Here is an 11465-nt window from a genome sequence, read left to right as displayed (position 1 = left end):
CCACACTCCAGCCTGGTGATAGAGCGAGACTCCATCTCAAAAACATTTTTTTCTTTTACCTGTGTCCTAATACATATTTATAAAAACCTGGGGGATATGAGTTAGAATAATATGTAACTGCATTTCTGTCTGTTTGTGTTTGAAACATTTAACAGTGAAATGTTAGACTGGGTTATTTGTATCTGTGAGCCACAGTCTCTTTAGTTTTACACAGTCCTTTACAGGACAGTCTTGGCAAAAGTGTGTAAGAAATGCGGAGATTGAGGTTGGCTCCTTTGGAGAAATGTATTTATTGGTAACCTTTGATAAAATCAAAATTTGTGCTCCAGCTCCTCCTTATCTCTGGGACTGCTCAACGTTGTTTGTTTATAATTTTCTTTTTTCTAGAGAGAGTCTCGCTCTGTCACCCAGGCTGGAATGCAGTGGGGAGATTGTAGCTCACTGTAACTCTTGGGTTCAAATGATCCTCCTGCCTCAGCCTCCCCAAATGCTGGGATTTACAGGCCTCAACATTTTTTGTTTTTTGGGATGGAGTTTTGCTCTTGTTGCCCAGGCTGGAGTGCAATGGCAAGATCTCCACTCACTGCAACCTATGCCTCCTGGATTTACAGGCGCGTGCCACCACACCCGGCTAATTTTTGGGTTTTTAGTAGAGACAGAATTTCGCCATGTTGACCAGGCTGGTCTCGAACTCCTGACCTCAGGCGATCCACTTGCCTTGGCCGCCCAAAGTGCTGGGATTACAGGTGTGAGCCACTGCTCCCGGTCATTTTTTTTTTTTTTTTTTTTGAGACGGAGTCTTGCTCTGTCGCCCAGGCTGCAGTGCAGTGGCGCGATCTCGGTTCACTGCAACCTCCGCCTCCCAGGTTCAAGCGATTCTCTTCCCTCAGCCTCCCGAGTAGCTGGTATTACAGGAGCCTGCGACCACGCCTAATTTTTTTTGTATTTTTAGTGAAGATGGGGTTTCACCATGTTGGCTAGACTGGTCTCGAACTCCTGACCTCACACAATCCACCCACCTAGGCCTCCCAGAGTGCTGGGATTAAAGGCTTGAGCCACGGCCCTCGGCCTTTTTTTCTTTTTATCAGCTGAATTTAAGATTCAAAACATTTTTTAATTTTATTTTTTAAATTTTATGTTTTTACTTTAACAAATATAGAAAAGTGCACACTTCATAATCTTAACAAACTCCCCACAATTCTCGATAGGAAGTGTGTGTAGGGCACAAACACATCACGCTGTAGATGGCAGGATTCTGGAAAAGAACAAAATCCTTTGAGCTCAGGCGCTGAGTCCCGCCACCCGTCTGGCAGCCCAGGCTAGGGTCCGCGCCTGCGCAATGGGAGCCGGCCGGCCAGGGAGGAAGTCGGAATGAAGGAAACCCCGCCCCTTTCCCGGCTTCCTCCTCCCCTCTACTCTACCCAGCTTGCGCTCCCCAGCCGCAAGTCGGCCGCGCTTTGCCCGTCAGCGCTTGGAGCTTTCTGCGTCGCTTCCCGCTGCGCCTGCGCGGTCCCGCCTCGCCCCACGCGCGGGCTCGCGCTTCGGTTTCCCCAGACCTGCTCGCAGCACCCTGCTGTCTTCCCGGTCCGGCCCGCTGCCCGCGGCGCCAGCACCATGGTGGGTACCGTGACGTCAAAAGGGGGCGCCCTCGGGGACCTCGCATGGTTGGGGCGGGGGATCTGGCCTTTGTACCCCTAGGCTGGAGTTAGGTCCGGAGTTTTTATCTTCATCTTTAGTACTGTACTGTTTCTCAGGTTCATTGAGGAGGCACTGAGAACAAATGGGATATTTTTTCCATGATGAGGGAAAAAACCCCAACCCTGAGAGAGATTCAGTGAGGATAGCGGGAGACGGAAAAGTTAGACCTCAGAGCACTTCTCTGCCAGGCAAGCTTCGGCAGGGTGCGGGTGGGATATTTTCTACAATTCATTGAAAGGAGTGGGCAGGTACCCGAGAAAGGTGGTCGACTGAGAGAGCACAGTGGGGAGGCCGACGTATGCAGGGCAGAGTCTCTCTGGGACTTTAAGTGATGGGCTCAGTGCAGTGTGCAGAATAATTTGGGCTCCAGCCTTTCAGCTCTGTCAACCAATTATTCTTTCCTGTGAAATTTTGAGAACTGTCAGGGATGCAGTGGGGTTCACAATACCAGTATTTGGTAATACTGTCAAAGGACACTCCTCCCTACCATGCTCCTTCCCACATGATGGTTTTCCCCCTCTCTCCCAATAGCTCTTCTATTCTTTTTTCAAGTCCCTTGTGGGCAAGGATGTGGTCGTGGAACTAAAGAATGACCTGAGGTAGGTACCTGTTCCAACAAGTCTGTTGGGGGTGGGTGTGCCCAGGGCCCTGGAACCTCTTTAATTTGAGAAATATTTCAGGGCTAGGCGAGGTGGAAGATGTACAGAAGAAATAAATGGATAGGGTGCAGTGGCTCAAGCCTGTAATCCCAGCACTTTGGGAGGCTGAGGAAGGAGGAAAGCTTGAGCCCAGGAGTTTGAGGCTGCAGTGAGCAGTGATTACTCCATTGCACTCTAGCCCAGGCAATAGAGCAAGACCCCATCTCTAAGAAAAATTTTAAAATTTAGCAATAAATAAATGCCTTGTGCCTTAAATTTACAGATAAGCTTAGAGATTGTATCGTGTATTGGAAAACAATACAAAGCAATATATAGTTTAAAGAGTAAATACAGGTCAGGCGCAGTGGCTCACGGGCTGGACGTGTGGCTCATGCCTGTAATCCCAGCACTTTGGGAGGCCAAGGTGGGCGAATCACGAGGTCAGGAGTTCAAGACCAGCCCGGTCAAGATGGTGAAACCCTGTCTCTACTAAAAATACAAAAATTAGCCGGGCACGGTGGCTGGTGCCTGTAATCCCAGCTACTCGGGAGGGTGAGGCAGGAGAATCGCTTGAACCTGGGCGGCAGAGGTTGCAGTGAGCTGAGATCACACTGCTGCACTCCAGCTGGGTGACAGAGTGAGATTCTGTCTCAAAAAAAAAAAAAAGTAAGTACTAGGCTGGCCATGGTGGCTCACACCTGTAATCTCAGCACTTTGGGAGGCTGAGGCAGGAGGATCACTTGAGTCCAGGATGTCGAGACTAGTCTGGGCAACATAGTGATGAGACCTCTATTTCTATAAAAAATTAGCCAGGTGTAGTGTACATGCCTGTAGTCTCAGCTATTCGGGAGGCTGAGGTGGGAGGATCACTTGAACCCAGGAGGTCAAGGCTGCAGTGAGCCATGATTGTATCACTTTACTCCAGCCTGGTTGACAGAGGAAGACTCTGTCTCAAAAAAAGAACAGGCCAGGCCGGGCGCGGTGGCTCACGCCTGTAATCCCAGCACTTTGGGAGGCCGAGGCAGGCGGATCACAAGGTCAGGAGATTGAGATCATCCTGTTTAACATGGTGAAACCCTGTCTCTGCTAAAAATACAAAAAATTAGCCAGGCGTGGTGGCATGCTCCTGTAGTTCCAGCTACTTGGGAGTCTGAGGCAGGAGAATGGCGTGAACCTGGGAGGCGGAACTTGCAGTGAGCCAAGATGGTGCCACCGCACTCCAGCCTGGGTGACAGAGCAAGACTCCGTCTCAAAAAAAAAAAAAAAAAAAAAGAAAAAAAAGAACAGGCCATAGGCCGGGCACGATGGCTCATGCCTGTAATCCCAGCACTTTGGGAGGCTGAGGCGGGTGGATCACGAGGTCAAGAGAGCGAGAACAGCCTGGCCAACATGGTGAAACCATGTAGTGTATCTAATACCTAGCATAGGCCAGTTATATGATAGGTGCTTAAAGAAAGAAAAATAATATCCGAAGACGTATTGACTAACCACTATTCTGAATACATTTATTGATTGATTTCTCAAACACTGCTAAGTAATATATACTATTGCTGTTTTACACGAGGAAACTGAGGCTTAGATCAGCTATACCACTTGTTCAAGTCTACAAAACTAGTAAGTGACACAACTGAAATATGATTCTGTCCAGCTTTTTTTCTTTCTTTTTTTTTTTTTTTGAGATGGAGTTTCAGTCTGTCACCTAGGCTGGACTGCAATGGCGTAATCTCGGCTCACTGCAGCCTCTGCCTCCTGGGTTCAAGCAATTCTCTGCCTCAGCCTCCCTAGTAGCTGTGATTACAAGTGCCCACCACCATGCCCGGCTAAATTTTGTATTTTTAGTAGAGATGGAGTTTCACCATCTAGGCCAGGCTGGTCTTGAACTCTCGACCTTGTGATCCACCTGCCTCAGCCTCTCAAAGTGTTGGGATTACAGGCGTGAGCCACTGCGCCTAGTCCTACTTTCTTTCTTAAAATAATATTTATTTATTTAAAAATTAGAGACAGTGCCTCACTTTGTTGCTCAGGCTGGTTTCAAATTCTTTGAGTTCAAGCAGTCCTCTTGCTTCAGCTTCCCAAAGTGCTGGGGTTACGCGCATGAGCCAGCACACCTGGCCCTGTACTTATCTGTACAGTCCTTTAAATAATATGTACATTTAGGCCAGATGCGGTGGCTCATACCTGTAATCCCAGCACTTTGGGAAGTCGAGGCGGGTGGATGCCTGAGGTCACGAGTTTGAGACTAGCTTGGCCAACATGGTGAAACTCCATCTCTACTAAAAATACAAAAATTAGCCAGATGTTGTGTTGTGCGCCTGTAATCCTAGCTGCTCAGGAGCCTGAGGCTGGAGAATCACATGAACCCGGGAGGCGGACGTTGTAGTGAGCTGAGATCAGGCCACTGCACTCCAGCCTGGGCGACAGACTGAGACTCCATCTCAAAAAAAAAAAAAAAGTACATTTAAAATATTGATACCTGTTACCTCATTATCCTTTAGAAAGATGGGATCAATTGTATTCTCTTCCCAAAAGCGTCTTCCACATTTATTTTTTTGAGATGGGGGTCTCACTCTGTTGTCCAGGCTGTAGTGCAGTGGCACCACCATAGCTCACTCAGCCTCCTGAATAGCTGGGGCTATATGCCACCATGCCCAGCTAATTTTTTAATTATTTGGAGAGGCAGAGTCTCACTGTGTTGCCGAGGCTAGTCTGAAACTCTTGGGCTCAAGCAGTCCTGCCACCTTGGCCTCCCAAAGTGCTGGAATTACAGGTGTGTGCCACTGTGTCTGGCTGTCTTCCACATTTCTATGTGAGATAATTTTTTCATGGGTTACACGTTGACAGGGCAGGGAATGGTGAGGAGAGGGACTTAAGGGCCTTTGCGTTTTAGAACACAGGTTTCCATTTGTAGCACTGGCAATGCAAGTGATATTGATGTGTATAGATTGGGGCCACAGAGCAAGACAAGTACGGTAATCACTATCAGTCTTAGGCAATTTGGTGTGATGACTTGTTTTTGATTCTCCTCTTTTCTCCTTCCTGGGCCTTTTACATGGGAAGCCTAACTGTTGTGTTATAACCCTAGGCCCTAAAGTACCTTTATTTTTTTTATTTTATTTTGTTTTTGAGACAGAGTCTTGCCCTGTCGCCCAGGCTGGAGTGCAATGGCGTGATCTCGGCTCACCGCAACCTCTGCCTCCCGGGTTCAAGTGATTCTCCTGCCTCAGCCTCCCTGGTAGCTGGGATTACAGGCATGCGCCACAACGCCTGGCTCATTTTTTGTATCTTCAGTAGAGACAGGGTTTCACCATGTTGGCCAGGCTGGTCTCCCAACTCCTGACCTCGTGATCTGCCCACCCCAGCCTCCCAAAGTACTGGGATTACAAGTGTGAGCCACTGCACCCGGCCGTAGTAACATTTCTTTTCTTTTTCTTTTTTCTTTTTTTTATTGAGACGAGTCTCGCTCTGGTCGAGTCTACGCCAGGCTGGAGTGCAGTGGTGCTGTAACCTCCGACTCCCTGGTTCAAGTGATTATCCTGCCTCAGCCTCCCGAGTAGCTGGGATTATATGCATGCACCACCACGCCCAGCTAATTTTTGTATTTTTAGTAGAGAAGGGGTTTCACCACGTTGGCCAGGATGGTCTCAATCTCCTGACCTTGTGATCTGCCCACCTCGGCCTCCCAAAGTACTGTGATTACAGGTGTGAGCCACTGCGCCCAGCCTTCTTTTTTTTCTATTTATTTATTTATTTTTGTTTGAGATGGGGTCTCACTCTGTCACCCAGGTTGGAGTGCAGTGGCATGATCTCGGGTCACTGCAACCTCTGCTGCCTGGGTTCAAGTGATTCTCCTGCCTCAGTCTCCCAAGTAGCTGGGATTACAAGTGCCTGCCACCATACCTGGCTAATTTTTGTATTTTTAGTAGACATCGGGTTTCACCATCTTCGTCAGGCTGGTCTTGAACTCCTGACCTCGTGATCCACCTGCCTCGGCCTCCCAAAGTGCTGGGATTACAGACGTGAGCCACTGCACCCGGCCTTTTTATATTATTTTTAAAATTTTTCATAGAGACAGAGTCTCGGCCGTGTTGCCCAGGCTGGTCTTGAACTCCTGGACTCAAGTGATCCTCCCACCTCAGCCTCTCAAAGTGCAGTGACTACAGGTGTGAGCCAATATGTGTGTGGCTTTAAAGTGACTTTTCTGTTGGGATGAGAAAGAAGATCTTTCTCCTTTTTTTTCCTTGAGACAGGGTCTCACTCTGTTGCCCTGGCTGGAGTGCGGTGGCGCGATCTTGGCTCACTGCAACCTCTGCCTCCTGGGTTCAAGTGATTCTTCCACCTCAGCCTCCCGAATAGCTGGGATTACCGGTGCATGCCACCACTCCCAGCTAATTTTTTGTATTTTTAGTAGGGATGGGGTTTCACCATGTTGGCCAGGCTGGCCTCAAACTCCTGACCTCAAGTGATCCTCCTGCCTCAGCCTCCCAAAGTGCTGGGATCACAGGTGTGAGCCACCACGCCTGGCCAAAAGTTCTTTCTCTTATGTTTGTTGTCAGACCACTTTTGTGCTATGTATCTCCCCCTCCTTAAGGGACTTAATAAAATGACACCACTTTGTACAATTCCCAAATGTTATTTCACTGCTGGAGATGGTGGGGTGCTGTCAAATGTTTTTCAGCAGCTAGCAATATGGTGAGAACATTACTGAGGCAGTGGGTTTCAGATACTGGGTGTTTGTTTTTGTTTTTGTTATTAGGCAGAGACTCACCCTCTGTCTCAAAAAAAATAATGATTGCCTAGTACTAGTTCATTTAAATTAATTTCCTAGAGCATATTTAAGTGGGTCTTTTTTTTTTTTTTTTTTTTTTGAGACAGATCCTTACTCTGTCACCGAGGCTGGAATGCAGTGGCATGATCTTGGCTCACTGCAACCTCTACCTCCTGTGTTCAAATGATTCTCGTGCCTCAGCCTCCTGTATACCTGGGACTACAGGCATGCACCACACACAGCTAATTTTTGTATTTTTATATTTTATTTTTAAATTTTTTTTTTCCTCCTGGGTTCAAGTGATTCTCGTGCCTCACCTCCTGAGTAGCTGGGATTACAGGTGCACACCACAATGCCCAGCTAATTTTTGTATTTTTTTTTTTTTGAGACGGAGTCTTGCTTTGTCACCCAGGCTGGAGTGTAGTGGTGTGATCTCCGCTCACTGCAAGCTCTGCCTCCCAGTTCACGCCATTTTTCTACCTCAGCCTCCCAAGTAGCTGGGACTACAGGTGCCCGCCACCATGCCCGGCTAATTTTTTGTATTTTTAGTAGAGACGGGGTTTCACCGTGTTAGCCAGGATGGTCTCGATCTCCTGACCTCGTGATCCACCCGCCTCGGCCTCCCAAAGTGCTGAGATTATAGGCGTGAGCCACCACGCCCGGCCAATTTTTGTATTTTTAGTAGAGATGGGGATTCGCCGTGTTGGCCAGGCTGGTCTTGAAGTCCTGGCCTCAAGTGATCCGCCCACCTTGGCCTCCTAAAGTTCTGGGATTATAGGCATGAGCCACCGCACATGGCCTAGACGCTGGGTTTTAAAGACTTTCAGAATTTTACAAAAATTGGGGCAGAGAACTGCCAACTTTATTTTTGGCAAGATAAGGACGTTTTTAAAACTGCTATTTATTACGATTATTTTTATTTATTTATTTTTCTTGAGATGGAGTCTCACTCTGTCACCCAGGCTGGAGTGCAGTGGCTCGATCTCGCCTCACTACAACCTCCACCTCCCGGGTTCAAGTGATTCTCCTGCTTCAGCCTCCCGAGTAGCTGGGATTACAGGCGTCTGCCACTATGCCCAGCTAATTTTTTGTATTTTTAGTAGAGATGGGGTTTCACGATGTTGGCCAGGCTGGTGTCGAACTCCTGACCTCGTGATTCGCCCGCCTCGTCCTCCCTAAGTGCTGGAATTATAGGCGTGAGCCACCGTGCCCGGCCACAGTTATTTTATTTTATAACTTTAAAATAGAGATGAGGTCTTGCTATGTTGTCTGGGCTGTTCTCCAGCTGGCTTCAGGCGATCCTCCTGCCTCAGCCTCCCAGAATGCTTGGATTATAGGCGTGAACAACCATTCCCAGCCAAAGGCTGTTTTTTTAAATTTTTGCACCATTCTCTCAAAGAGCACTGGTGTTTTGATAGCATTCCTCAAATAGCATTTCAAGGGGCTCGAGGATTGGGGAATGGAGAGGACATCACTCATGCCTGCATCATCAAGAGTAATGCTACCTACCTTTATCCACATATGGGCTCTGGTTCCAAAGCAATAAATGTTTGAAAATAGCTAGCCTGGGTGACATTCACAGTGAGACCCTTTCTCTACAAAAAAAAAAAAAAAAAGTCGGGAATGGTGGCTCATGCCTGTAATCCCAGCACTTTGGGAGGCTGAGGTGGGCAGATCATGAGGTCAGGAGATCGAGACCATCCTGGCTAACACGGTGAAACCCCGTCTCTACTAAAAATACAAAAAATTAGCCAGGAGTGGTGGCCGGCATCTGTAGTCCCAGCTACTCGGGAGGCTGAGGCAGGAGAATGGCGTGAACCTGGGAGATGGAGCTTTCAGTGAGCCGAGATTGTGCCACTGCACTCCAGACTGGCCGACAGAGCGAGACTCCATCTCAAAAAAAAATCAGCTGGGCATGGTGGCTCAAGCCTGTAATCACAGCTACTCAAGTGGCCACAGTGAGCCATGATCACGCCATTTCACTCCAGCCTTGGCCATAGAGTGAGACCCTGTCGCAAAAATAAAAAAAAAATAGCTGATGGTTTTGGGAGTCACACAGACTTGGACTGAAGTTCCCATTTGTTCTAAACTCATAAAGTTTAAAACAACCTCTCTGAGCCCCTGGAAGGTAATAACTACTTTGAAAGATGGCTGTAAAGATTACAAATACTATATAGAATACAGGTCTAGCCTTTACCAGTTGTTTAATGGTAGCTGTTAAGAATAGGTTGGTTTGGCCGGGGACAGTGGTTCACACCTGTAATCCCAGCACTTTGGGGAGCTGAAGTGGGCAGATCGCCTGAGATCAGGAGTTAAGGAACAGCCTGGCCAACATGGTGAAACCCCATCTCTACTAAAAATAAAAAATTAGCCGGGCATGATGGCATGCGCCTGAAGTCCTAGCTACTCAGGAGACTGAGGCAGGAGAATCGCTTGAACCTGGGAGGCAGAGGTTGCAGTGAGCCAAGATCACACCACTGCACTTCAGCCTGGCTGACAGTGAGACTCCATCTCAAAAAAAAAAAAAAAAAAAAAAAGAATGGATTGGTTTAGGGAGAGGAGATGTGGGGTTGAAAATAAACTACTCTGTTAGTTGTCTTTCCTACTCCAGGGCTTAGGAATGCCCCCTTTTGGTTCTACCTTTTCTGACATCCTCAAGTCCTTGACTTCTCCCAGTCATGTTCTCATCCCAGCTCTGAAGTCACCTCTATGTTGACTTTGTTATAAACTAATTTGATTCTTCTCTCCCTCTGCCCTTGACAGCATCTGTGGAACCCTCCATTCTGTGGATCAGGTGAGATATAGCACGGGCCCCAGAATTGGTTCCTGGAGAAGGAGAGGGGAGACTTAAGGGTTGGGTTCTTACATCATGTCTCTAGGGTTAATAATGGTGTTCGTCGGCCAGGCACGGTGGCTCACGCCTGTAATCCCAGCACTTTGAGAGGCCGAGGCCTGAGGTCAGGAGTTCAAGACAAGCCTGACAAACATGGTGAAACCCCGTCTCTACTAAAAATACAAAAAATTAGCTGGGCGTGGTGGTGGGCACCTGTAATCCCAGCTAGTCGAGAGGCTGAGGCAGGAAAATCATTTGAACCCAGGAGGCGGAGATTGCAGTGAGCCGAGATGGCACCATTGCACTCCAGCCTGGGCAACAAGAGCAAAACTCTTGTCTCAAAAAAAAAAAAATAATAATAATAATGGTGTTCATCTTCCTTTCCTAGTATCTCAACATCAAACTAACTGACATCAGTGTCACAGACCCTGAGAAATACCCTCACATGGTGAGTTGGGGTCTGTGGAGAAGAGGAAACACCTCTAAAGCAGGAGGCCCCTGGGTGGTTAGAGGACATTTTTAAGGGTGTTTTCATATTTGTCCATCTTTGTCTAGTTATCAGTGAAGAACTGCTTCATTCGGGGCTCAGTGGTCCGATACGTGCAGCTGCCAGCAGATGAGGTCGACACACAGTTGCTACAGGATGCGGCAAGGAAGGAAGCCCTGCAGCAGAAACAGTGATGGCTCCTCCTCCTCTTCCCCTCCCTCTTTCATTGGTGACCCATAACCCCAAGTCCCAGCCCAGAACCCCTAACCCCCAATACTTGAAGGGGTTTTGTTTTTTTACTAATGATGGTTTTGTGGGTTTTTTTTAAGGGATGAGTGGATGAGAGGAGTAATAGGGAACAGCTATCCTCTCTTGAGAAGGGGAGGATAAGTAGGCTGGGAAACTTCAAAGCCTTCCCAGTCCCCAGCACCTGCCTTTCTCACTACTTCTCTGGAGATGGTAGGAGAGTTTCCTAGGTCTTTCCAGGGCAGCATGTGATTCATTTGGGGATGGAAGGAATCTGTCCCGCATCGGGAATAAAATTTATGATGCAAATTTGTGTTTTGGTTCTGTTACTATGTGTTGGGCAGGGGGCTGGGACATGGAAAAGGATGTCGAATTCATCCAAGCCCCTGTTACTCTGCGTTAACCCAGCCAAGAATCCAACTCAGCTTCCCACTACTCTCCTTGGTATAAAGCATATAATACAGTTGCTCTACACCATGTTTCCCCAACATGTCCCTACCTGTATGTTCTCCCTGTGGCCTTTTGCTTATACCATACCTGCAACTGGAGTGCTTGCTGTCCTTCCATTAATGTGATAGTGTCATAAGATACATTTCATGCTACCAGACTTCACCAATCCAACCAAATCAGTTCATGTTTTCTGAATATGTATAGAAGATAAATACAAGTGATGTAATTTATATTTTAGAGAAAAGTTGTGACTGGGAATTACTAAACTTCATTCACTCATTCAGCAAATATGAGTTCATGATACAGATGAGACTTCTCAGCCTTAAGGGACCCTTAGAGACCATCTAG

At 47.6% G+C, this 11465-nt stretch overlaps 1 protein-coding gene across 1 annotated transcript; it reads left to right on the top strand.

The window, feature by feature from the left end:
- Window positions 1406–10976, top strand: LSM2 (LSM2 homolog, U6 small nuclear RNA and mRNA degradation associated). The gene is made up of 5 exons (NM_021177.5): window positions 1406–1617; window positions 2230–2297; window positions 9865–9895; window positions 10323–10382; window positions 10490–10976. Exons 1-5 carry the CDS (start codon window positions 1615–1617, stop codon window positions 10613–10615), a joined length of 288 nt encoding a protein of 95 aa, NP_067000.1. The 5' UTR covers window positions 1406–1614; the 3' UTR covers window positions 10616–10976.

This window comes from Homo sapiens, chromosome 6, assembly GCF_000001405.40.
Source record: "Homo sapiens chromosome 6, GRCh38.p14 Primary Assembly".
Classification (NCBI taxonomy): Eukaryota; Metazoa; Chordata; class Mammalia; order Primates; family Hominidae; genus Homo; species Homo sapiens.
The sequence above is the reverse complement of the archived record's forward strand: the minus strand, read 5'-3'. Positions and strand labels throughout refer to the sequence as shown.

What these genes read in the sequence shown, in the direction of transcription:
- LSM2 (NM_021177.5), top strand. An exon ending in GAACTAAAGAATGACCTGAG is followed by an intron (nt 2,298 to 9,864) that starts GTAGGTACCTGT and finishes TGCCCTTGACAG; the next exon opens with CATCTGTGGAACCCTCCATT. An exon ending in CCCTCCATTCTGTGGATCAG is followed by an intron (nt 9,896 to 10,322) that starts GTGAGATATAGC and finishes TTCCTTTCCTAG; the next exon opens with TATCTCAACATCAAACTAAC.